Raw genomic sequence first — 27,999 nt, forward strand, 5'->3', positions numbered from 1 at the left:
TGTCTAATTCATCTTTATAATCTTAACACAGTGCCAGGCATATCAAAGGCCTTCAATACGCGTTGATTGAATTAAATAATGCCCTGTTGGGCCAGAGGGGAACCTGACTCCAGCCCTGGCTTAGGGAGCACAGGAGAGAACCCAGTGTATTTTTCTAAATATGGGTGTGTAGGGAGAATTGGGGGGAAAGGAGTGGGATGCCCAACAGAAAAGGAAAGGAATACTGATTCCTGTGTTTTAATGTGCCAGGCATTCTACAGACTTTATCTCATTTAATCTTCATTATAATAACATGAAATAGTTATGGCTGTGCCCACTGTACAGATGCTATTGACTGAGGCTACATAACTAATAAAATTGCAGACCTCAGGATTTTGACCCAGGATTTGTCTGGCAGTAACGTCTGTCCCAAAGGGCGACACAATCCTGAGGCAGCTGTTCGCAAACTCGAGGCCTCAATCTTTGACGGAAGCGGTTTTCAGAGAAAAGAAGTTCGAGGCACAAGCCTGTTGGGTGGGGCGCAACTGCAGTCCCAGCGAGCTGAGGATGGCTGCGCCAGGCCCCCTTCCTGCCGCTGCTCTGAGTCCAGGGGCTCCGACCCCCAGAGAACTTATGCACGGAGTTGCAGGTGTTACTTCCAGAGCCGGACGAGATCGGGAGGCGGGGAGCGTGCTGCCGGCCGGGAACCGTGGGGCGCGGAAGGCCTCCCGGCGCTCTTCCTCCCGGAGTATGGTGAGGAGCGCGGGGGACGGGTGCGGGAAGGGGACAGCAGGGCTGAGCCTGGGGCCCGCAAGACCCAGCAGCCCGAGCGGGCGCAGAGACCCCACGCCACGCACAACCCTCTCTTCTAGGGGGCGCCGACTACACTGACTTCCCTGTTCCGGAAGAGGGGGATGCGTGCTGCTTCTTTTTCCTTAGCATTTCTGGTGGTTTTTTTTTTTTTTCCCTTAAAATTTAAAAGTTCTTTATAAAGTTTGAAAGGATATGAGTCCTTTATTCGTGATATGTGTTATGAATATGTCCTCCCAATTTATTTTTTGTTTTTTGAGTTTGCTTATGGGGGGCTTTTGTTTCTCTTTGCCATGCAAATATTTTAAATTTTGTGTGGCAAGACTTACCAGTCTTTTATTTTATGACGTCTAGACTTTTAGTCATATTTTAATATATGACTTTTAGTCATACTCTTCCCTACACCCAAGTTATAGAAGAGTTCACTCATGCTTGCTTCTAGTACTTGAACTGATGTATTTTTTACATTTAGATCTATAATACATTTGGAGTGTGTTATTGTGTGTGGTTTGAGGAGTGAATCTAATTATTTTTTTTCAAATGGGTATCAAGTGTCCCAACACCATTTATTATAAAGGTCGTCACTGTCCCAGTAACTTGAGATACCAGCTTTATCATGTACTAGACTTTCATATGTGGTTCGGGTATTTCTGGACCTTCTATTTTCATCCATTGACCCGTTTATTCATCTGCTTTAGAGAGGCTTTGCTGTATGTTTTAATGTCAGGGCTAGTCTTCCTAGAGAGTGCTTCCTTGTCACTATTTTCCTAGCTATTCTTGTTGTTTATTTTTCCTTATGAACTTTTCTGATGTATGATCAGTTTAAAAAAAAAAAAGAAAAGCTCTTTGGAATTTTTATTGGGATTGCATTAAATTAATAAATTACAGAGAGCTGATATCTTTAGGTGGTGTTGACATGGTCTAACCTACTGTGCTGTGAAAGATTGAAAATTTGAGTATGTAATGTATATGATATTAAATTGTGAATTGGTGGGACATATGTAACAGCTTTTCAACAATTGTAGATACTGGTACTTCATATCCTCTTAAGGAAAATTTGCCTCCAAATTTTAAGCTGGAAAGTCACTAGAATAACTTTTAAAAACAATTACAATACATGACTTTTTAAACTTTTTTGTGTGTGTATGTTAAGAATAGTGTACAAATTGAAATATCTGTGTACTGATCCTCGACACAACCAATGAAATCTCCATTATGAAGGAATGTTTTGAAGCACATAGAAAAGGAAGCGAAACAAAGGATGCCTTTTCATTGTTTAAGTCTATTTTTGTGTCTTTAAAGAAGGTTTATAGTTATCTTCACATAAAACATTTCAATTTTTCTTTTTTCTCAATATTATATATGAGGTTTACTCATTCGCTATGTTGTCTATTTACGTGTATGTATGCTTTGATGTTTTCTTTCATTTTAAAAATTAAGGTGTAATTTACAGACAGCTTTTCTATATTTAGAAAATTCATACTTTTTAGTGTATACTTCTGTGAGTTTTGACAAATGTTTACCAGTATAATGAAGATATAAAAGAGTTTTCTACCAGTTTCTTTGTCTTCAACCTCTTCACTCAAGATGAGCTCCTGGCAACCACTAGGGTCATCTTTTGGTCCCTGTAGTTCCAGAACGTCATGTACATGAAATCATTCAGCAGAGAGTCTTTGGAGCCTTAGGTATCACTAATTTGCTACTGCTTTCTATTAATAGTTAAATTTCATTGTGGTCAGAAAACATATTTTTCATTATTTGAATTCTTTAAAATCTATGTATTGAGGGCCGGTCGCGGTGGCTCACGCCTGTAATCCCAGCACTTTGGGAGGCCAAGGTAGGTGGATCACTTGAGGTCAGGAGTTCAAGATCAGCCTGGCGAACATGGTGAAACCTCGTCTCTACTAAAAATACAAAAATTAGCCAGGCATGGTGGCACACACCTGTAGTCCCAGCTACTCAAGAGGCTGAGGTAGGAGAATTGCTGGAACCTGGGAGGCAGAGGTTGCAGTGAGCTGAGATTGCGCCACTGCACTCCAGCCTGGGTGACAGAGCAAGACTCTGTCTGAACAACAACAGCAACTATATGTATATATATATATATATATATATATATATATATATATGCACGCGCGCACACACACACACAGAGACATTTGTCTTATGGACACAATATGATCTATCTTGGTAAATTTCCAAGCACACTTGAAAACAAAGTACATTCTCTCATTGGATAGAGTGTTCTATAAATGTCAATTAGGTGGAGTTGGTTGTTGTTCAAGTCCTCATGTCCTTACTGATTTTATGTCTACTTGTTCTATCAATTATTTAGAGAGGATGATGAAATCTCCAACTATAATTGTGGATTTGTTTATTTTCTCCTCGGAGTTCTCTCAATTTTGCTTCATATATTTTGAAGCTCTGTTATTAGGAATAAAATGTTTAGGATTATTTCCTCTTGATGAATTGGTTCATTTGTCATTATGAAATGACATTTTTACCCTTGATAATATTTGCACTGAAATCTACCAAGTTTCTTTTTCTTTTATTTTTAAAAATAATGATAAAATGCATATAACATCAGATTTACCGTCTTAACCATTTTTAAGTATACAGTTCAGTAGTGTTAGGTGTGTTTACATTGTTGCATAGGCAATCTTCAGAACTTTTTCATCTTGCAAAACTGAAACAGTATGTGTTTGTCTTTTTGGGACTGACATTTCACTTAGCATAATGTCTTCCGGGTTCATCCATGTGATAGCATGTGTCAGAATTTCCTTCCTTTTTAAGGCTGAATAATATTTTATACGTATATATAAACATATTTTGTTTATACATTCACCAACTGATGGATTTGGGTTGCTTCCACCTTTTGGCTATTGTGACTAATAATAATGAACTTGGGCTAATAATAATGACTGTACAAATACAGTCATGCTCTGCATAATGAAGTTCAGTCAGTGACCGACCATGTAAACCATGCTGGTCCTGGAAGATTATAATACTGTGTTTTTACTGTACCTTTTCTATATTTAGATATGTTTAATACACAAATCCCATTGTGTTACCATTGCCTGTAGTATTCAGTATGTTAACATGCTGTATAGATTTGTAGCCTAGGAGCAATAGACTATACCATATAGCCTAAGTGTATAGTAGGCTATACCATCTAGGTTTGTGTAAGTACACTCTATGGTGTTCACACAATGACAGAATTGCCTAATAACACATTTATCAGACTGTATCCCCATCATTAAGTGACAGATTACTGTATCTCTTCAAGATCCTGTTTTCAATTCTTTTGTATTTATATCCAGAACTGGGATTGCTGGATCATATGGTAATCCTATTTTTAATTTTTTTGGGACTGCCATGCTGTTTTCCATAGCAACCAAATCATTTTTGCATTCCCACCAACAGTACACAAGGATTCCAATTTCTTCACATCCTTGACAATACTTGTTATTTATTTTCTTTCTTCCTTCCTTCCCATCTTCCTTTCCTTTCCTTTTCTTTCACAGCACCCATCCTAATGGGTATGAGGTGATATTCCACCATGCTTTTGATTTTTATTTCCCTAATGATTAGCAGTGTTGAGCATCTTTTTATATTCTTGTCATCCATTTGTATATCTTCTTCAGAGAAATGTCTATTCAAGTCCTTGGCCCATTTTTAAATCAGGTTTTTGTTGAAGTTGAGTTGTAGGGGTTCTTTGTATGTTCTGAATATTAACCTCTTCACCAATATATGATTTGCAAATATTTTCTCCTGTTCTGTAGGTCACCTTTTTATTCTGTTGATTGTTTCCTTTGCTATGCGGTTTTTTGCTTCACGTAGTCCATTTGTTTATTCTTACTTTTATTGCCTGTGTTTTTGGTGTCATATCCAAGAAATCATTGCCAAATTCAATGCCATCAAGCTTTTCTTTTTTGGTCCATTGTTCTATATGTCTTCTTTATGCCAGTACTGTACTGTTTTGACTACTGTAGCTTTGTAATATGTTTTGAAATCAGGAAGTGAAAGATCACCAGCTTAGTTGTTCTTTCTTAAGATAGTTTTGGTTATTTGGAGATTAAAAGTGACTTAAAAAATTAGAGAACCAGTCTTTTATATTTACTCACATTTTACCATTTTCATCTAGCATTATTGTTGTTCTCTCTGAAAACCTTTTAACATTTCTTATAGCACTGGTCTACTGGTGATGAGTTCTTTCAGCTTTTGCATGTCTGAAAGGTTTTTATTTCACATTTATTGTGAATGATATTTCCTTTTTTTTTTTGAAACAAGGTCTCCCTCTGTCATCCAGGCTGGAATGCAGTGGTGCAAACACTGCTCACAGCAGCCTTGACTTCCTGGGCTCAAGTGATCCTCTCACCTCAGCCTCCTGAGTAGCTGGGACCACAAGCATGCACCATCTTGGCATTCAGCTGGTTTTTAAACATTTTTTGTAGAAATGGGGTCTCACTATATTGCCCAGGCTGGTCTTGAACCCCCAGACTCAAGCAATTCTCTCACCTCAGCCTCCCAAAGTGTTGAGATTAAATGTAAGAGCCACTGCACCCAGCATGAATGACATTTTCTAAGTTGACAGTTAAAGATATTGCTCTACTGTTTTCTAGCTTGCATTATTTCTAACTGGAAGTCTGCTGTCATTCTTATCTTTACCCTTCTGTGTGTAATTCTTTTTTCTTTAATTGCTGTTCAGATTTTCTCCTTATCACTGGTTTTAATCAAGTAGATGTGTCTAGGTGTAGTTTTTCTTCATGTTTATTGTGCTTCTTGGTTTATAGTTTTCATCAAATTTGAATTTTTTTGGCTATAATTTCTTCAAATATTTTCTCCTGTACCTTCCTCTCTCTCTTTCGTATTAGTCCTCTTAAAGTTTTGCCATAGCTTACTAATAATTTATTCATTATTTTGTGTCTTTCATTCTGCATAGTTTCCATTGCTGTGACTTAAATTTCACTTGTCTTTTGTTTCTGCTGTATATAATTATGCTGTTAATCCCATACAGTGTTTACAGTGTTTTTTTTCTTTTTTACCTCAGGCATTGTATTTTTTCTCTCTAGGAGTTTGATTTGGTTCTCCTTTATAGTAAGTGTCTGCTAAGTATGCCCGTGTTTTCCTCTACCTTCTTGGAAGTATGAAATACCATTATAATAATTGTTTTAATATCTTTGTTTACTAATTCTATCATCTGTATCTTTTTTTTTTTTTTTTTTTTTTTGAGATGGAGTATTGCTCTTGTTGCCCAAGCTGGAGTGCAATGGCATGATCTCGGCTCGCTGCAACCTCTGTCTCCCAGGTTCAAGCAATTCTCCTTCCTCAGCCTCCTAAACGCTGGGATTACAGGTGCCTGCCACCATGCCTGGCTAGTTTTTTTTTTTTGTATTTTTAGTAGAGATAGGGTTTCACTATGTTGGTCAGGCTGGTCTCAAACTCCTGACCTCAGGTGATCCACCCACTTCGGCCTCCCAAAGTGCTGGGATTACAGGCGTGAGCCACCAAGCACAGTCTGTATCATTTTTAAATTAGTTTCAATTGATTTATTTTTCTCTTCATTATGCATTATATATTGCTACTTTTTTCATGCCTAGTAATTTTTGATTGGATGCCAGACATTATATGAATTTCACCTTGTTGAGTCCTGAATATTTTTGCACTTTAACAAATATTCTTGAGATTGTATCTGGGTTACAGTTAAGTTACTTGAGAAATGTTTCACCTGTTTGAGGCTTGCTTTTAAGCTTTGTTAGGCAGGAGCAGAGTGATCTTTAATCTATAATTAATTTTTCCACCATGGAGGCAAAACCCTTCTGAATGCTTTACCCTATACCATAAGAATTATGAGATTTTTCTACTGTGGCTATTGAGAACAGGCACTATTCTTAGCTCTTTTGTCATTTGAGACTCAAGGGGGATCCTCTGTAGACTTCTGGAGCTCTTTGCGCAACTCTCTCCTCTCCAGTACTCTGACTTGTAATTTCTAGTCACTTTAGCCTCCGGTAAGTCCCAAGTCTGTCTGTCTCCTCAACTCAGTGAGGCTTCCAGGCTTCTTCTGAGTTTCTTTTTCCTGCTTTGTGGCTTGCACCGCTCTCCATGTGGTAAGCCTATGTGGTAAGCCTATGTGGTAAGCTCCATGTGGAGCAATTGTAGCATTCACCTTATTTGTTTCTTCTCTCCAAGGAATCACTGTCCCATATTGCCTGTTATCAAATATCTCAAAAAATATTTTAGATATCTTTTAACAAAATTTCTAATTGTTTAAAGTGGGATAGGAAGTGTGTTACTCATATTTGCCTAAGTAGAAGTCCTAAAGCTTTTGATGTTTGCATGCTCATTTTATATATTACTGCCAGCTGAGTTTTTAAAATTATTATTATTATTTTCCACTTAATTTAGGGTCTTCCAGGTATAAATCATGTCACCTTCAAGTGAAGACAGTTTTATTTCATCTTTTTCTATTCTATGATCTTGTTTTTTGACCAATATAATTGCATTAGTTAGTTCCTACAGAACAATGTTAAGTCATAGTTACCATACTTACCTTGTTCCTGACGTTAATGAAAAAATACCTACAAAGTTTTCCTAAGTAAGATGCTTCTTTGGGATTGAAGTTCATCTGTTTTTATCATGTTAAGGAAATATTCATCCATTTCTTTCCTTTTTTTTTTTTTTCCGAGATGGAGTTTCACTCTTGTTGCCCAAGCTGAAGTACAATGAATGGCACAATTTTGGCTCACTACAACCTCCACACCCCGGGTTCAGGCGATTCTCCTGCTTCAGCCTCCCAAGTATCTGGGATTACAGGCATGTGTGACCATGCCTGGCTAATTTTTGCATTTTTAGTGGAGACGGCGTTTCACCACGTTGGTCAGGCTGGTCTTGAACTCCTGACCTCAGGTGATCCACCCGCCGTGGCCTCCCAAAGTGCTGGGATTACAGGCATGAGCTACCACGCCGGGCCCATTTCCATTTTTCAAGAGATTTTGTTAGGAATCGGTGTTAAATTTGGTCTAAGTTTTTTCAGTATTTTTGGAAATAATCATGTTGGTTTTTTTCCTTAAACCTATTAATATGGTGAATCATAGTAATAGATTTTCAAAAACTCACCCATTCTTGATTTGCTTGACTTTTATGTAACTCATATTCTAGTGCTTTAAACATTGATCTCTCTGAAGTGCCCTTTTGTCACCGAACTAAACTGGGTCTATTTGCTTGTGTAATGGAAAGCCAAATACTAAAGTACCAGGTTTTTGCAGTGAGAAAGATTTATTTTGAGTCAGCTGACACAGACAGGAGGAAGTGCTTAAATCTACCTAGCTACTCAGGAGGCTGAGGTGGGAGGATCGCTTGAGCCCAGGAGGTCAAAGCTGCAGAGAGTAGTGTTTGCACTTCTGCACTCTGGCCTGGGTGACAGAGGGAGACCTTGTTTAAATCTGTCTCTCCAATCTGGAGGCTGGGTCAGATTTTATAGCCATAGAATAATGGGGTATGATCTGATTGGATCTTGCAAAGAGGTAGTGCTAAGAGACATGATCTGACTGGATCCTGTTATGGAGTGACATCAGGACTTTATCTGATTGGATCCTGGATCCTGCCATGTAGTGTCCACTACTTAATATGGTCCCCATTCCTTGCTCCTGAGCACTTAGGTTCTGCCCGTGGTTGCACACTTGGGTGTTCAGCTACGTGACCTTCAACCTGGGGGTCTATGGCAACTGAAAAACAACTTACAACTTTGTTACATAAAAGCTGAACCAGATTGGTCTGATACAGTTACATTTTTGCATACTGAACTCACCCTTTCGTCAATCATCTGATAGAAGACTGTTTTGATTTATCACATGGACTCCATAAACTGCCATCCCCTATTCCATTTCTGGAACTTTAGACAGTTTACCACCCTGGTTGAGGATACAGCCTTGTGTTCCATTGTGTCAATTTATGAACCGACATTTCTTGAGTAACTGCTGTTTTGCAAATGTCTTTTTTAAAGATTAATGTTTTAGTATTTTATGCGAATCCCTATCAATTGCCATTGGTAGATCTTCTATTTGCTTTATTAGTTGACACATTTTCACCTTAGTACAGTTAGTTAAATAAATATAGAACTTTTATTCTACTACTTTTGGGGTGTTAAAAGTTAAAAATTGTAACCCATCAGTGTTAGTTTTACTGTGATTAGGTGTTGGTTGTGAGGTATGAATTGATATTTAATTTTCTTCATAATAAAACCCAACTTTCCCAGCAATATTTATTAAGTGATGATTCATATTTTCACTCTCCTATTCTTAATATTTCATATGTTAAACGTATTTTTTTTTTTCCTATCACCTCTGTTGGAGTGCAGTGGCCTAATCATGACTCACTCTAACCTGGAACTCCTGTGTTCAAGTGATCCTCCCACCTCACCCTCCTAAGTAGCTAGGACTACAGGAACACACCACCATGCCCAGCTAATTTTTTGAAAAGCTTTTTTATAGATGAAGACTTGCTGTGTTGCCTAGGCTGGTCTCAAACTCCTGGCCTGAAGTGATCCTCCCACCTCAGCCTCCCAAAGTACTGGGATTACAGGCATGAGCCAACATGCCCAACCCATATGTAAACTTTTTGAGAGATTAAGGCTTATTTCTAGAATTGCTATTGTGGTTCTTATATTATCCATTCTTAACTTAGAACTATTTAGTTTTATAATTGGTATTTAAGGATGCATTTTTAAAAAATAGTCTTTAATTTTTAGAGTAGTTTTAGGTTCCCAGCACAATTTAGCAGAAAGTACAGAGTTCCTATATACCCCTCACACCCCACCCCCACACAATCCCCCCAACTATCAACATCCAGCGCCAGAGTGGTACATTTGTCACAATTTATAAACCTACATTGACACATCATTATCACCCAAAGCCCCTAGTTTATATTTGGGTTCACTCTGGCTGTTGTACATTCTGTGGATTTTGACAATGTTTAATAATATGTATATACCATTACAGTATCACACAGAATAATTTCACTGCCCTAAAAACTCTCTGTGCTCTGCTATTCATCCTCCCTCTTGGCAACAGCTGATCTTTTTACTGTCTCCATAACTTTGCCTTTTCCAGAATGTCATATAGTTGAAATCATACTGTATTTTGCCTTTTCAGATTGACTTTTTTCACTTAGTAATATGCCTTAAGTTTCCTCTGTGTTTGTGTGTGTGTGTGTCTTGATAACTCATTTCTTTTTAGCACTAAATGATAGTCCCTTGTTTGAATGTACTGTAGATTATGTATCCATTCACCTACTGCAGGACATCTTGGTTGCTTCCAAGCTTTGGCAATTATGAATAAAGCTGCTATAAATATTTATGTGCAGATTTTTGCATGGGCAAAAGTTGTCAAGTCATTTGGGTAAATACCAATGAGCATGACTGCTGGATCATATGAGAGGAGTATGTTTAGATTTGTAAGAAACTGCAAGACTGTCTTCAAAGTAGCTGTACCATTTTGCATTCCCATCAACAACAAATGAGTGTTCCTGTTGCTCCACATCCTTGCCAGCATTTGGTGTTGCCAATGTTCTGGATTTTCACCATTCTAACAGGCGTATAGGGTAGCTCATTGTTGTTTTGTTTTTATTTTTATTTATTTATTTTTTGAGCTGGGGTCTCGCTCTGTCCCGCAGGCTGGAGTGCAGTGGCACAATCACTTACTGCAGCCGCAACCTCCTGGGATCAAGTGATCCTTCCACCTCAGCCTCCCTGGTAGCTGGGACTATAATCCACCACACCTGGCTTATTTTGTTTATTTTTTGTAGAGATGAGGTCTCACTATATTGTCCAGGTCTTGAAGTCCTGGGCTCAAGAAATCCTCCCTTCTCAGTCTCCTAAAGTACTAGGATTACAGGCTGGTGTGAGCCACTTCACCCTGCTTCATTGTTGTTTGAATTTGCAACTCACTAACATGACATTGTGCATCTTTTCATATGCTTATTTACTGTCTGTATATCCTCCTTGGTGAAGTGTCTGTTCACATCTTTTGCTCATTTTAAAATTTGGTGTTTTTTAAAAAAATTGTTGACTTTTAAGAGTTCTTTGTATGTTTTAGATAACACTTCTTTTTATCAGATATATCTTTTGCAAAAATTTTCTCCCAGTCTGTGGAAAGATGCATTTTAAAGTATAGCAAGCCAAGTTCCTAATCATTTCCTTTGGTATTATCTTTTTAAAAATATCTACATTTTGCTTTCATTTTACCAAATTTTATAGTTGATCATGTTAGTGTCTTGAGATTAAGTTTTATTTTATTATATCTATAATTACCTTGGAGACTATTATTATTTGTAATATATTTATGCAAGAGCAGAGGATATCTGTTGAGGCTTATTTTTGCCATTAAAATTAAGTTATTCTGTTACTATGAGCTAATGTATCATATCTATATATTTTCTAGGAATTGGTTTATTGATTTTTTTTTTTGGTTTATTGATTCTTGTTTTTTGGTACCAGCTTTATTAAGATATAATTTACATGCCATAAAATTCACTCTTTAAAAGTGTGCAATTCAGTGGTTGTTAGTATGTTTACTGAGTCCACTGCTATCTACTTTTAGAAATTTTCAGCAAGGTGTGGTGGCTCATACCTATAATCCCTGCTACTTCAGAAGCTGAGGTGGGAGGATCACTTGAGCCAGGGAGATTGAGGCTGCAGTGAACCATGATTGCGCCACTGCACTCCAGCCTGGGTGACAGAGCAAGACTGTCTCTAAAAAATAAAAATAAATAAAACAAAGAAATTTTCATCACCGCAAGAGAAACTCCATATGCATTAGCAGTCACCCCTTATTTCCTCCTCCCCCAAACTCTGGTAACCACTACTATACTTTCTGTCTTCATGGATTTATATATTCTGGACATTTCACATAAATGGATTCATACAATATGTGGCCTTTTGTGACTGGCTTCTTTCACTTAGCATGTTTTTTCCAGGTATGTTGCAGAATGTATAAGAACTTCATTACTTTTTCTTCTTTTAACCAAATAATATTCCATTGTATGAATATATCACCTTTTATTTATCCATTCAGTTGGTGGACATTTGGGTTGTTTCTACTTTTTGATGATTGTGAATAATGCTGCCGTGAACATTTGTTGTCTCAGTCAGCTTGGGCTGCTGTATCAAATATCATAGACTGGATGACTTCAAAAATGAACTTTTTTTCTCATAGTCTGGAGGCTGGAGGTTTGCGATCAGGGTCCCAGCATGGTAGAGTTCTTAGTAAGGGCTCTCTCATCCTGGTTTGTCGATGGCCCCTACTTGCTGTTTCCTCACATGGGCTTGTCCCTTCATCTTCTTATATTAATCCCATCATGGGGTCCACCCTCATGACCTCATCTAAACGTAATTGTCTCCCGAGAGCCCCAACTCCAAATACAATCACATTGAGAATTAGGACTTCAACTTAAGAATTTAAAGAGGGACACAAACATTCAGTCCATAGTATTTTTGTAGAGGTTACTGTGTGGACGTATGTTTTCACGCCTCTTGGGTATATACCTTGAAGTGAAATTGCTGAGTCACATGGTAACTAACTTTTTAAGGAACTGATACATTATTTTCCTAAATCGTTGCCTTATTTTATATTTCCACCAGCAATGTGTCTTTTTCATTTTAGTCATTCTAGTGGGGTGAAGTGGCACCTCATTGTGGTTTTGATTTCCACTTTCTTAATGGCTAACGATGTTGTGCATCTTTTTAATGTCCTTATTGGCCATTTGTATATCTTCCTTTAAGAAATGTCTATTCAAATCCTTTGTTGGTTTTTAAATTGGATTTTTTAAAAATTGTTGACTTGTAAGGGATCTTTATATATTCTAGGTACAAGTCTTATTGGCTATATGATTTGAAAATATTTTCTTCCATTCTGTGAGTTGTCTTTTCACTTTCTCATTCATGTTATTTTTTATTTTCACAAAATGTATTATTTGTAAGGCATAACTTTTTTTTTTTTTTTTTTTTTGAGACAGAGTCTCGCTCTGTCCCTGGGGTGCAGTGGCACAATCTTGGCTCACTGCAAGCTCTGTGTCCTGGGTTCATGCCATTCTTCTGCCTCACCCTCTCAAGTAGCTGGGACTACAGGTGCCCTTCACCACGCCTGGCTAATTTTTTTGTATTTTTAGTAGAGACGGAGTTTCACCGTGTTAGCCAGGATGGTCTTGATTTCCTGACCTCATGATCCACCCGCCTCGGCCTCCCAAAGTGCTGGGATTACAGGCATGGGCCACCGCACCCGGCCTGTAAAGCATAACTTTTTATCATTTTCATTTCTATACTTACCCTCTTTTCTTTTCCTCACCTTATTTGGATGACCAAGAAGAGTTCCAAATAATATATATATTTTGAGATGGGGTCTCGCTCTGTTGCCCAGGCTGGAGTGCAGTGGCATGATCTCGGCTCACTGCAAGCTCCACCTCTGGGGTTCATGCCATTCTCCTGCCTCAGCCTCCCGAGTAGCTGGGACTACAGGCACCCAGCACCACGCCCAACTAATTTTTTTTGCATTTTTATTAGAGACGGGGTTTCGCCTTGTTAGCCAGGATGGTCTCGATCTCCTGACCTCGTGATCCACCTGCCTCGGCCTCCCAAAGTGCTGGGATTACAGGCGTGAGCCACCGTGCCCAGCCCCAAATAATATATTGAAGCAAAGTATACATATCAGTATACATATCTGATTTTTGTTTTATTTTGATTTTTACTACTTCTAAGGAGAGTGACTTCTTCTTCACTGTGAATACTGTTGACTTTGACTCTTTATTATGCTAAGGGAAAGTTCCTTTATTTCTCTTTCAAAGATAAAAAACAATGAAAAATGGAAGTCAGAGTCTCTATTGTCCCCTTCCTTTGTGATAAAAGTCTACTTAAACCCAGTCTTCTTTCTGAATATGCAACACTTTTGTGTCTTGGTTACATCTGCAGACTGCCCTTTTGTTATGCACTAACAGAAACTTTATTTGCGGTAAAATGTTGTAGCTCTATTAATTTAAATCAGTGGATGATCGCCATCATTTACTATCATGTTTGTTACTTTTTTCCCCATGATTTGGTGAGTAAATCTGACTTTACAAAATATAATGTTTAACTTTATGCAATATTTTAGCCAATGAGTTACCATTTTCCTTGTTATTAAAAGAATAAAGCAATGAGTCAAATCTATATTCTTCCAAAGTATTTAAAAATAGGAAGTAATATAAAGGCCAAATCCTTTCAAATCTCAAATCAGATATAAAAATATCCTGAGTGTTTCTGTCTCCTTAAAAATCAGTAAGTTGGAACATTCAGGCACAAAAGTAATACTTTCCAGAAGAGTGGATAAAATGGAAGAAGTGGAAATGGATGAAATAGATGAATTTGCAAAAGAGATCCTTTACAAGTCTCTCTTTTGGTTGCACTTCACAATATCCAAGACGTCATGACTGAGAACATGCTATCCTTGCTCATGGAGTCTGTTACTGGCCTGCCAGAAGCCAATTGTGACTTCAGGGTGGGAGTAACACACAACATTAAAGTCGTCACTTTTCTTAAAAATATTGGGGCCAGGCACAGTGGCTCACGCCTGTAATCCCAGCACTTTGGGAGGCCGAGGCGGGCAGATCACGAGGTGAGGAAATCAAGACCATCCTGGCAAACATGGTGAAACTGCATCTCTACTAAAAATACAAATATTAGCTGGGCATGGTGGCGCATGCCTGTAATCCCCACTACTCAGGAGGCTGAGGCAGGAGAATTGCTTGAACCAGGGAGGCGGTTATTGCAGTGAGCCGAGCCGAGATTGCTCCACTGCACTCCAGCCTGGTGACAGAGCGAGACTCTGTCTCAAAAAAAAAAAAAAAAAGGTATTGATAAGACAGACTATAGCTTTCACCTTTCATTTGCAAACTATGGTTGCATGCTACTTTGAGATTCCAGGCGTCCCACAATGGGTCTTCATTAAAAGAATGAGATACCATCTCACGCCAATCAGAATGGTGATTATTAAAAAGTCAAGAAACAATAGATGCTGGTGAGTTTGCAGAGAAATAAGAATGCTTTTACACTGTTGGTGGGAATGTAAATTAGTTCAACCATTGTGGAAGATGGTGTAGTGATTCCTCAAAGATCTAGAACCAGAAATACCATTTGACCTGGCAATCCCATTACTGGGTATGTATCCAAAGGAATATAAATCATTCTGTTACAAAGATACATGCATACATATGTTCATTACAGCACTTTTCACAATAGCAAAGACATGGAATCAACCCAGATGCCCAATGATGATAGACTGAATAAAGAAAATATGGTACATATATATCATGGAATACTATACTGCCATAAAAAGGATGAGATCATGTCCTTTGCAGGGACATGGATGGAGCTGGAAGCCATTATCCTCAGCAAACTAACACAGGAACAGAAAACCAAACACCACATGTTCTCACTTATAAGCTGGAGCTGAACAGTGAGAACACATGAATACAGGGAAGGGAACAGCACACACTGGGGCCTGTCTGGGAGTGAGGTGGGGGAAGGGAGAACATTAGGAAAAATAGCTAATGCACACTGGGCTTAATACTGAGGTGATGGGTATTTAGGTGCAGCAAACCACCACGGCAAACATTTACCTATGTAACAAACCTGCACATCCTGCACATGTACCACAGAACTTAAAATAAATATTAAAATTAAAATTAAAAAAAAAAAAAGAAAACCAGACAAGGCAAAGGAAGAGGGGAAAGTCAAGCATGCACATAGCACTGTTCTAACCATTAAACTAATGTTAACTCTTTTAATCTTCTTACAAGGCAAGTAGTATCATTATCCTCACTTTCTGGGTGAGGAAACTAAGGCATAGAGAAGTTAAATGACTTGCCCAAAGTCACACATTCAGTAATGGTGGAGCTGGGATTCAAATCCCAGGCAACCCTTGCTTTTAAGCCTTACACTAAATGGCCTTATTAATGCTACAGCAAGAATTCAAAATCAAATCTCTCTGACTCCAATGTGTGTGCCCTTATCCACTATGCCAGGAATGAGCTCTGCTACTTCATTTTTGTAAATCATTTTATCTTCTAGTCACCTTGAACATTCAATTTGTAAATCACTTTATCTTCTAGTCACCTTGAACATATATATATGTATAGACTAAAAGATAAAATTATCTGTCTATCTATCTATCTATCTATCTATCTATCTATGTATCTATCTATCATGTATCTATCTATATTTTTGAGACAGAGTCTCCCTCTGTCGTCCAGGCTGGAGTGCAGTGGCGCAATCTCAGCTCACTGCAACCTTCACCCCCCGGGTTCAAGCTATTGTCCTGCTTCAGCATCCCGAGTAGCTAGGATTACAGATGCCCGCCACCATGCCTGGCTAATTTTTTTTGCATTTTTAATAGAGACGGGGTTTCACCATGTTGGCCAGGCTGGTCTCGAATTCCTGATCTCAAGTGATCCACCCACCTCAGCCTCCCAAAGTGTTGGGATTACAGGCATGAGCCACTGCGCCTGGCCAATTTATATTTTTAAATACGTTTTTATCTATGTTATTAAGATAACGTGGATTCACTGTAAAAAAGAAATTAGTACAAAAATATGTATGGAAAAATGCAAAAATAATCCTATTAATAACTTAATATTTCAGTAACCATGCATTTGTACATCTTTTGATGCATATATGCAAATATATAGATAAAATGATACTAATGTATAGGACATTATACATACATACATTTTTATTATAAACACATTTGTTTTCTCTAGTGTTTTACTTTTTCTTCTGTGTTCACTCCCTCAGCCTTTCCCAGCCCCACCTGCCCCAAACTGGGAAATCAATTTTACTACAAAATCACAAGTATATATTTACATTTATAGAAATTTTGTCGCTTGTTTTGAAAAGGTAGAATCCTATAAGAAAAAAAAAAGTTGTGCTCTTTCTAACACTCAGTAAGAGAGAATTGTGAGGGAAATATGCATAATTACTTCTGCTACTACTAATAGCTAACATGTATTAAGCACTTACTCTATGCCAGGCACTGTGCTTAGACTTTTACTTACCCTATCTTAAAACATATAGCAATATGAGATAGGTACTATTAGTAAGAATGAAATTGGGGGTTAGAGAGGATTGAATGACATATTCACAGTCACACAGCTAGTACCTGTTTCAGAATTCCATGTTAGACATCCTGACTTCTGAGTGTATTTTCTTAACTGCTATGTACATCCCCTCAAATTGCCAGTGAGTTTTAATAGTGAAGCTATATGACATGGCTGTTGTCAGGGATCACTTGAGCCAAGGAGTTTAAGGTTACAGTGAGCTATGATGGGACACTGCATTCCAGCCTAGGCAACAGAAAAACAACAACAACAACAAAGAATCAGATATTTATGACTTTATAATCATGACATGTCCAAATAGATATCAAGGTATGGGTAAGTTTGTATGGGAGACAAAGATAAATCAGATTGAGAAAACAATATTGTGTAACAATTATTACTATTATCATATTACAAAGTAGCTCCATGTCCTTGATTACACTTGGAGAGGTAACTGTTGATCCTGTTCCTCAAACGATCTCAAATTGGAAGTCATTGTTAAAGATTGCTGTGTATTCAGGGTAGGCAACGTAGGGTAAGTTGAAATTGATATAGGGTAGGGGAGGTTGAAATTGACGTTGTGAAATCTAACTTTACATAGAAATTAGCATCTAATTTTAATTTGTGGTTATCGCCTCTAAATCAAATTACTTTTAAAAATCTATTTTCTTCTAATATGAAATAAAATTACAATACCAATAAGTTGATTTTTACTTCTAGATGTCAACACATTTATTAATGTTTGTGATGGACACCATGGAAGTTCAGCAACTTCAGATTTCCTCAGAACCTTTGGAACAGACAACAACCATTAAGATTGAAAATATGCCACTTGATGGTGAATGTAATTACATAACAATTTTCTTCAAAAATCCCAAAAATGGAAGAGAAAGAGTAACCAATGTTCAGTATTTCCCAGAGGAGGGTTCAGCCCTGGTTGAGTTTTCTGACTACAAAGGATTAATTTCTCTTCCTTCTTGATGTTCAAAGTGGTTATTCAGCTTTTAATGCATGGATGAAGTCAGATTAGAGGCTGCACAGGTGATAAGGAAACCCATCAAAGCCACAACATTCTTACTGGAATATGCTGTGAATTAACTCAAGCTTTGAACAGGTTCTATGGGGATCTAGCTAAAGGAATTGTTTTTTTTTTCGCAGTAACAAAACAAAAGCTTCCCTTGACCCCAATTTCCACATAGCTACTACTTCATTTCTTTGCTTCCCTTTGCAGCAAAATTTCTTGATCGAAATTTGTCTACCTCACCCCCATTTCCTCTCCCCCCATTCTTTCTTAAATCCATTCCAGACAGGCTTTTACCTCCAGTGTTCCACCAAAGCTGTTCTTGTCAAAGTCACAAATGATCTCCACTTTGCTGGACTCAATATCCTCTTTTCAGTCCTCCTTTTACTCGATCTCTTAGCAGCATTTCATACAATTGATGGCTCCTTCCTCCTAAATACAGGTTTTTCACTCGCTGCTAGGACACCATACTTTTCGGTTTTGTCCTACCTCAGTGGCTGCTTTTTGTTGGTTTGTTTTGAGACTTTAGTCTTGCTCTGCTGCCCAGGCTAGAGGGCAGTAGCACGATCTTGGCCCACTGCCACTTCCCCCTCCCTTTTCAGCCTCCCTAGTAGTTGGGACTACAGGCATGCACCACCACACCCAGCTAATTTTTGTATTTTTTTTGTAGAGACAGGGTTTTGCCACAGTGCCCAGGGTGGTCCCAAACTCATGAGCTCTAGCAATCCGCCTGCCTTGGCCTCCCAAAGTGTTGGGATTACAGGCATGAGCCACCACGCTGGCTTGGCTGCTCATTTTTATTCTTCTTTTCTCATTCCTCTTCTTTCCTCCAGTTCTTAATGTGGGACTTAGTCCTTGGTTCTTTTTTTCCTCTTTCTCTACACTCTCTAGGATCTAGTGGCATTAAATACTGTGTACCTATGGCTCAGTTTTTATCTGCAGTCAAGACTCTCTCCTAAACTCCAGTATCTATGCTCATTGCCCAGAAGACTTCCATACCTGGTTGTCTAAAAGAATATGCATAAACATGGCTGGGTGCGGTGGCTCACTCCTGTAATCCCAGCACTTTGGGAGGCCGAGGCAGGTGGATCACAAGATCAGGAGATCAAGACCATCCTGGCCAACATGGTGAAACCCGTCTCTACTAAAAATACAAAAATTAGCTGGCCGTAGTGGCATGTGCCTGTAATCCCAGCTACTAGGAAGGCTGAGGCAGGATAATCCCTTGAACCAAGGAGTCGGAGGTTGCAGTGAGCTGAGATCTCGCCACTGTACTCCAGCCTGGCAACAGAGCGAGACTCCATCTCAAAAAAAAAAAAAAAAAAAAAAAAAAGCATAAACGTAACATGTCCTAAACAAAAACTGCTTACCCTCTCCACCCCACCTCATCAACTTGCATTACCCATGGCCTTTCCCATGTCAGCGGATAGCAACTCTATCCTCCTAGTTGCTCAGACCAAAGCCCAGGAGTCATCTTGACTCTTCTGTTTCTCTCATATCCTCTATTTTCCTTTGGGAAATCCTGTTCACCTTCAAGATATATTCAGAATCTGATCACTTGTCAAATAAAACATAAAGCATTTAGAAAATGGAATGAACCATTTTAAAGACAGTAACATTTTCTTGAAGGGTTTACCATGCACAAAATAGCTTATACTTATACTTTGGATAATATGACCAAATAAACATCATTTTTTAATGGCTGTACCTCACCTGCATGTCCCTTCCCAACTGTGATCATGAGGAAGAAGTGGTGAAGCCAAAAAGTATCCCTGAAACTATAAGTGGGAAGAGAACACTGGGGGAAAAGTCAGAGGATAGAAGCAGATATTAGGATCTTCCTCACATAGCTTCAATGAAAACCAGTCAGGTAGGAGAGCTAAAAGTTGAGAGGCTATCTACAAAGAAAAGGAGCTTAACTTTCAATAGTGGTGTCTTAGTCTGTTCAGGCTACTACAACAAAATACCTTAGACCAGGTAATATATAAGCAACATAAATGTATTGCTCATAGTTCTGGCGATTGGAAAGTCCAAGATCAAAACACTAGCAGATTTAGTGTCTGATGAGGGCTTATTTTCTCTTCCAAAGATGGCACATTCTTGCTGTGTCCTCACGTGGCAGAGAGGTAGAAGGCTTCTGAAAGCCTTTTTAAAATAATGGCACTAATCCCATTCATGAGGGCTCCACACTTATGACCTAATCACCTCTTAAAGGCCCCATCTCTTAATAATACCACAATGGAAATTAGGTTTCAACATCAGTTTTGGAGGGACACAAACATTCAGACCATAGCAAGTGGTTTTTTTTTTCTTTTTTAAAATTATTATTATACTTTAAGTTTTAGGGTACATGTGCACAATGTGCAGGTTAGTTACATATGTATACATGTGCCATGCTGGTGTACTGCACCCATTAACTCGTCATCCTGATCTCGAACTCCCAACCGCAGGTGATCTGCCCGCCTTGGCCTCCCAAAGTGCTGGGATTACAGATGTGAGTCACCGCGCCCAGCTTTTTTTTTCTTTTTCCACAATACATCCTAAGAAATATATTTTATATCCCAGACCATACCTTATATTAAAAGAACAGTATTTGTTGCAATTTGGAAAAATAAATTTTGTTGCAATATGTGCATTCGCTGCTAAGGAATAGATGCATTTTCTTTTCTAGTCTATACATATAGATTTTATATATATGCATATTATAATATACACAGAGTTGTTCCTCAGTATCCACAGGGGATAGATTCTTGGACCCCAAGCAATGCCAAAATCCATGGATCCTCAAGTCCCTTATGTAAAATGGCCTAGTATTTGCATGTAACCTACATGCATCCTTCTATATACTTTAAGTCATCTCTAGATTACTTTATAATACCTAATGCAGTGTAAATGCTATGTAAATAGTTGTTATACTGTATTTTTATTTATTTTTCACTGTTGTGTTATTTTGTATTTTTTAAAAAATATTTTCAATCAATGGTTGGTTGAACCCATGGATATATATTTACATGTTTTTTGTTAAGACCTTTAAATTTCATATTGCTGGTATAGTGGTTAGAGCTTGGCTCTCAGCAATTACTTTGCTAAAAAGGATTAGGGGATGGGAGTTTCAGCCTTATCCCCACTGTCTCTACCAGCCTGCCTCCTCAAGCCATCCTATATAAGCATACAATTTATATTTTTACTTTTCTATTGCTACATAACAAATTACCACAAAACTTGGGTGTTTTAGATAACAAACATTTATTATCTCACACTTTCTGTGATCAGGAATTTGAGAGCAGCTTAGCTGGGTGATTCTGGCTCAGTATCTATCATGACGTGGTTATTCAGTTGTTGGTTGGGGCTGCAGTCATCGTAGGCTTGACTGCGACTGGAGAGTCTGCTTCTGAGCCCACTCACATGGCTCCTGTCAGACACTACAGTCCCTTGACTTTGAGGGCCTCTCCATAGGGCTGTTCATAAATGGCAGCTGACTTTCCCCAGATTGAGTTATCTGTGGGAGGAAGAGGGAAAGAGAGAGAGAGAAAGAGAGGCCATGAGAGCGCAGAAAGCTGCAGTGCTTTTCATACACCAGCCTCAGAAGTGACATAGCGTCAATTCTGCCATATTTTGTTGGTCACACAGCCAACTCTGATATGATATGGAAGGAGACTACGCAAAGGCTCAATGACCAGGAAGTAGGAATTGAGAGTGATCTTACTTTCACTATCCAAGAAGGTACAGCTTCAAGACAGTCTCCCTTCACCACCCTCTACTTCTAGCCAGATTGTCACACCTAAGCCATCTATATAGAAATATTAGAGCACCACGGTCCTTTATTTTTATTTTATTCTTTTTTTTATTTTTTATTTTTTTGAGATGGAGTTTTGCTCTTGTCACCCTGGAGTGCAGGAGTGCAGTGGCGTGATCTCAGCTCACTGCAAGGTCTGCCTCCCAGGTTCAAGCAATTATCCCACCTCAGCCTCCTGAGTAGCTGGGACTTCAGGTGTGCGCCACCACACTCAGCTAATTTTTTGTATTTTTAGTAGAGACAGGGTTTCACCACTTTGGGCAGGCTGGTCTTGAACTCCTGACCTCAGGTGATCCACCCGCTTCAGCCTCCAAAGTGCTGGGATTACAGGCGTGAGCCACCACACCCAGCCTGTCCTTTAGAATTCCAAATGTATTAGCCAGGTGTAGTGGCACATGGCTGTGCTCCCATCTACTTGGGAAGCCGAGGTGAGAGGAAGATCACTTGAGCCCAGGAGGCTGAGGCTGCAGTGAGCCATGATATTGTGCCACTGCACTCCAGCCTGGGCAACAGAGCGAGACATAGTCTCAAAAAAAAAAAAAGAATCCCAAATGTATAGATCTAAATCCTTCCAGATTTTATTAGCTGGATAACAATGGCAAAGTTACTTTCTGATTCTCTCTCTCTCCCCTCTCTCTCTTTCTTTTTCTTGCCTTTCTTCCTCGAATTTCTCTTTTTTCTTTTCTTTCCTTTCCTTTCTCTCTCTTTCTTTCTTTTTCTTTCCTTTTCTTCATTTATTTATTTACTTATTTGAGACAGGGTTTCACTGTGTTGCCCAGGCATGCAGTGGCATAATCATAGCTAATTGCAGCCTCAAAATCCAGAGCTCTAGTAATCTTTCCACTTCAGCCTCCAGCATAGCTGGGATTACAGGTGTGCACCACCAAGCCCAGCTAATTTTTCAATGTTTTCATAGAGATGGGGTTTTGCTATGTTGGCCGGGCTTGTCTTGAACTCCTGGCCTCAAATGATCCTCCTGCCTTGGCCTCCCAAAGTACTGGGATTACAGACATGAACCATTGCACCAGGCTTGTTTCCTCATTCAGAAAGTATCTATCTCACAGGCTCATTGTTAAGATTAAATTAAGTGAGATAATATTTACAAAATATCTGACACATAACAGGTACCCAATAAATAAAGCTATTATAATTATCAAATTAAGAACAAATGGGAAACACAAGTTACTAATTTGGTGAGAAATAACAGGTATGAATTGTGTTTTGGATAGCTATAATTCTTAGCAGATATAAGCACAAAATGCCATTATTAAATGTTATTTAAGTATTTCACTCTTTCATTTTCACTGTCCTTCATTGCTATCACCTCTGACATAAGAGTACTAAAATAAAACTATTTTTACTAGTAAAATGCATTCAAAGTAGGCTAGGGAGTTCAATTAAGAAAAATATGGGAGAAAAAAGGCAAAAGAGTTCACTTAGATGTAAAACCAGACCACTAAGTGATGGTCTATCTTCTGCTTGCCTGGGAAGTTATTGTTTCCCATGTTGACCTACCCATTCCATCTTAGGGCAGTTCTAATTATTTTAAAACGTAGCTTTATGTTAAGCCCAAATATGTTTTACTATAGCTGTACATACCAACTTAGAGTAGTAGAAATCATTCCTTCATAAGGCAGCTCTTCAAATGTCTAAAGACAACTGCTCTTGCATTCCACCCCACTCATTATCTCTACTCCTGCAAGTTAAAGATTCTCATTCCCTTCTGCATATCCTCATGTGACATGGTTTTGCATCCTTTCAGGGCATCGGTTTTTCTATTCTGCACATACCTAGTTTTCATAATCCCTTTGCAACATTTGGCACTTTGAAGTAAGCACATACCACAGGTGTTGCCTGTTTTTAACAGTGAAAAGTAGAATAAAGTCGTTATTCATGCCCATTCTCGTTAGTATGTTTCTATTAGTATTGCCCCCAAATTCATTATTACCTTTTTTTTTTTTAAGGAAAGGACTTTGTTTTTAGAGTAGTTTTAGGTACACAGAAAAATTTAGCGAAAGCGGAAAATTCTCAAATACCCCCCTCCCCTAGTTTCCCCTATTATTAACATCTTGCATTAGTGTGATACATTTGTTGCAACTGATGAACCAATGCATTGTTATTAACTAATGTCCATAGTTTAGAGTTCACTTTTTGTGTTGTATAGTTCCATTGGTTTTTGTTTGTCTTTTATGGTTTTTTTTTTTTTTTTTTTTTTTGAGACGGAGCCTTGCTCTGTTACCCAGGCTGGAGTGCAGCGGTGCGATCTCAGCTCACTACAGCCTCCACCTACTGGGTCAAGCCTCCCAAGTAGCTGGGACTACAGGTGCTTGCCACCACGCCCAGCTAATTTTTGTATTTTTAGTAGAGATGGGGTTTCACCATGTTGGCCAGGCTGGTCTCAAACGCCTGACCTCAGGTGATCCACTTGCCTCAGCCTCCCAAAGTTACAGGCATGAGCCACTGCCTTGGCCTGTTCCATTGTTTTTGACAAATGCATAATGTCATGTGTCCACCATTGCAATATCATACAGAATAGTTTCACTGCCCTGAAAATTGCCTGTGCTCCACCTATTCATCCCTCCCTCCTTCTCCAAAATCTCTGGCAACCACTCATCTGTTTACTGTCTCTAGAGTTTTGCCTTTTCCAGAATGTCATATAGTTAAATTATACAGTATGTAGCCTTTTCAGACTGACTTCTTTCACCTAGGAATCTGCATTTAAGTTTCTTCCATGTCTTTCTGTGGCTTGATAACTCAGTTCTTTTTCTTTTTAGTGCTAAATAATATTCTATCGTATGGAAGTACCATAGTTTATTTATCCACTCACAGAAGGACATCTTGGTTGCTTCCAAGTTTTGGCAGTTATGAATAAAGCTTTATTGCTTCCAGAAACATTCATGTGCAGGTATTGTGTGAACAAAAGTTTTCAATTTATTTGGGTAAATACCAAGTCATGCAACTGCTGAATCATATGGGAAGAGTATGTTTAGTTTTGTAAAAAACTGCCTGTCTTCCAAAGTGGCTGTAGCATTTTGCATTCCCACCAGCAATGAATGAGTGTTCCTGCTGCTCCACATCCTTGCATTTGGTGGCCTTTTTTTTTTCTTTCTTAAACAGGACTATATTACTGTTAATTTGTACTGAGTTTACTGCCAATCAGGATCCCTTAGACGTTTTTATATGACTTAGCTGCTGAGCCACATTCTCTTTCTCTCAAACTTGTGCAGTTATTCTTTGGACTTTCCTTAGTGGTCTTTCTTTTCTTTTGTGCCTCTCCCAGATGCCCTGGGCTTGGTCTCTTTTACTTATCAGGTGCATTCATAAGCCAACTGCTTATTGACTGTATTACTGTTAAGGACTCACACTTGGATTCTTTCCCAGGGCACTGCCTTTGGGAGACTGAAGGGTGCCTCTCCCAGAGGTGCCTGGGAGTTGACATTCATCTCCTGATCAGATGGTACGTAGACAATAACTGACTGGTATGGAGGTAGAGGAACTGAGCTCCCTTGCCCCTAGGAGGGACAAATGCTGTTATGGAAGTTATACACTCTAGAGCTCCCTGGGAGATCAGGCAGATACCAGGGTACACCGAAAAACATATTCTAGCTTAGCTTCTTCCTCTTCTCTATCTTCATCTCTCACTTCCTACACGTTTCTCCTGCGGGCACAACCTTAATAAATCACTTGCATATGAATCCCAAACTCAGGCTCTGTTGCTAGGGAATCTGACCTAATTTTATGACTTCTTTCAATTATAGCACAAAATTGTTCCTAATATTTTTGTCTATTATAACCATTCCTTTCAAAAATAGTAATGACCTTACTTTAAAGAGGTTATTTTGAATTGCTCCTGCATTGTTGCTTGTATTTATTGAATCTCTAAGGGCAAGACTTTTTCAGGAAAGAATTACTTTTTCAATATTACAACGAATGTCAGTGGGAAAATCAGACCAATGTGATAAAACTTTATGGCTAAGTAAACATGCATGGAATTGACTTGTTCCATTAGTTGAGGATTACCTCCATTGCATTTACGAATGTCACATTCTTTCACTGACCTGTTGACAGTGGTGCCATTTTAGGAAGACACTCTATTTCAGTCTCATGAGTGTCAGCATTTATGTGCCAGAGGTACCTTTTACTCTTTAAAATATTACCATTTGGTTTTGTCTGAATGATGACTACCCTTTATTTTTATTTTTGGTGGTGAACACCTACTTGACCAAAAAGTCTGGGTCTTCAATGAAAGGCCCATTTCTGTGTCCCAGTGTTGTGTGTCTTTGGCCACAGCCTTGTATCAAGGGGAAAAGTCCCTGAAAAAGTTGCCAGGCCAGCACCACTCCTGGTGGCCCTGGATCCTCGCATATGGAAGTTCCTGCCTAAAATGCATCACCTGATCAGAATGACAAATCACAGGATGAGAAGTTGTCACTGTGAGGTAACATGACCCCAAGGTGTAAGGGGTTGGAGGCAACATGCAGGTCTACAACCACCCAGCTTACTCAAGGAAGACCGAAAAAAAATCAGTGTCATCAAGACCTGTAGAGAACATGTTTCTAAAAAAACCTCCTGCATTGTGTCTAAATATCAAGTCACCAGATTGAATATGAAGCCAGCAGTATGGGAGGACATAAAAAACAGTTTAGAGGATGATAGGATTTTGATTGAATTTGATATGTTCAAGGAGATGGTCATAATAATTGGTTGTCTGGAGGATGTGAAGAGTTGTAACACAATTAAAGACAATAAGAGAAAGCACCAACCAAAACAAAAAGGAAAACCAAAATGTGACTGAGAATGTAGCTGGTTCTTTTGGGAGGTTTTCTAGTCTTCACATCAATGCTTTAAGACTCTCACCCAAAGTATTCTCTGGGTGGGAGATCACGGATAAAACTTTCATCAAACATACCAGTGTGCATGCAGAAGAGTAACAAATCATGAAATTCTTGAGCAAATGAAAGTATTGCCCAGAAACCTACTGCCAAAGCATAGACTGAAAAATAATCAAAGACAATTTTAAACAGAAAAAAATTGATATCCTTTTTGAGTGAGATCAGGCATGGAAAATAGATTTAGTTTCATGGATTACCTCTGACCAAATGATAATTGTTGCCTGGAGCTCTGTGTTGAGGAAGATTCTGAGACTGGATCTGGGTTGATTGAAAAAGAATGCTGATATGGATTAGTAATGTCTGTCACAAGTGCAAGAGGGATAACATGTACTATATTTTTACCATTTGTGTGAGAAATACCATGAGGTAGATAAGCTCAGATTCCATGAAGAGTAGAACTGAACTGGGTGTCAAGAGACCACATTCAAGTACTGTGTCCTTCATTAGCTAGTAGTTTGATTTTGATCAAATGATTTCATCCATCTGCACACTGGTTTCCTTTTCAGGACAATGAAGTTTCTATCCTGGATGGTCTGTCATGACCCTTTAAATTCTAAAATTCTATGATCGATTAATAGTCAAACTTCAAATGCATTATTATGGAGTACTCAGGGATGTGTCTTAGGTTGAGTGCCTCCTGAAGAGCACCCTAAGACAGGATTCAAGTGCAACTTATTTAACTAAGAAAATAAAGAAAACAGACTGGGTGCAGTGGCTTATGCTTGTAATCCCAGCACTTTGGGAGGCCAAGGCGGGTGGATCACTTGAGGTCAGGAGTTTGAGACCAGCCTGGTCAACTTGGTGAAACTGTGTCTCTACTAAAAATACAGAAAGTAGGGCCGGGTGTGGTGGCTCGCACCTGTAATCCCAGCACTTTGGGAGGCTGAGGCGGGCAGATCACGAGGTCAGGAGTTCAAGACCAGCCTGGCCAACAATTAAAAAGATAATTTTTGTATCTTTGTAAAGATACAAAAAATTAGACGGGAGTGGTGGCGAGTGCCTGTAATCCCAGCTACTCAGGAGGTTGAGGCAGGAGAATCACTTGAACCCGGGAGGCAGAGGTTGCAGTGAGCCAAAATCGTGCCATTACACTCCAGCCTGGGTGACAGGGCAAGACTCTGTTCAAAAAGAAAAGAAAAAAAATACAGAAATTAGCGGGGTGTGGTGGTGTGCACCTGTAATCCCAGTTACTTGGGAGGCTGAGGCAGGAGAATCACTTGAATCCGGGAGGCAGAGGTTGCAGTGAGCCGAGATCACGCTACTTCACTGCAGCCTAGGTGACAGAGCAACACTCCATCTCAGAAAAAAAGAAAGAAAGAAAGAAAGAAAGTAAAGGAAACTGGTAGGGCGCATCATCAAATCAGCTCCCACTTAATCCCACTGGG

General features: G+C 38.9%; 1 protein-coding gene, 1 long non-coding RNA gene and 1 pseudogene across 11 annotated transcripts in view, besides 2 other annotated features; 2 read left to right on the forward strand and 1 right to left on the reverse strand.

Annotated features, from left to right (window-relative positions):
• Positions 496–775: an enhancer, noted in NCBI's record as "active region_20379". NCBI's record gives its function as "activates an Ori minimal core promoter by ATAC-STARR-seq in GM12878 lymphoblastoid cells {active_cell/tissue: GM12878}" and the evidence as "EXISTENCE:reporter gene assay evidence [ECO:0000049][PMID:35858748]".
• The window catches only part of PARP15 (poly(ADP-ribose) polymerase family member 15), a 61,398-nt gene continuing 33,927 nt past the window's right edge, over positions 529–27,999 (forward strand). For all 10 annotated transcript variants that reach the window (NM_001113523.3, XM_005247159.5, XM_011512476.4 and 7 more), the window contains exon 1: positions 529–732. In NM_001113523.3, coding sequence (NP_001106995.1) covers positions 547–732 — 186 coding nt within the window. In that variant the 5' untranslated portion in view covers positions 529–546. The remainder of the gene's footprint in view (positions 733–27,999) is intronic.
• Positions 836–885: a silencer, noted in NCBI's record as "silent region_14643". NCBI's record gives its function as "represses an Ori minimal core promoter by ATAC-STARR-seq in GM12878 lymphoblastoid cells {active_cell/tissue: GM12878}" and the evidence as "EXISTENCE:reporter gene assay evidence [ECO:0000049][PMID:35858748]".
• Positions 17,649–26,506, forward strand: LOC100421636 (poly(ADP-ribose) polymerase family member 14 pseudogene; annotated as a pseudogene).
• Positions 21,149–27,940, reverse strand: LOC124909419 (uncharacterized). Its single transcript, XR_007096034.1, has 2 exons — positions 23,322–27,940; positions 21,149–21,425 (listed from the first exon to the last, which is right to left on the reverse strand). It is a non-coding gene; the product is annotated as an uncharacterized LOC124909419 (long non-coding RNA).

The sequence above is a fragment of the Homo sapiens genome, chromosome 3 (assembly GCF_000001405.40).
Source record: "Homo sapiens chromosome 3, GRCh38.p14 Primary Assembly".
In the NCBI taxonomy this organism is placed as follows: Eukaryota; Metazoa; Chordata; class Mammalia; order Primates; family Hominidae; genus Homo; species Homo sapiens.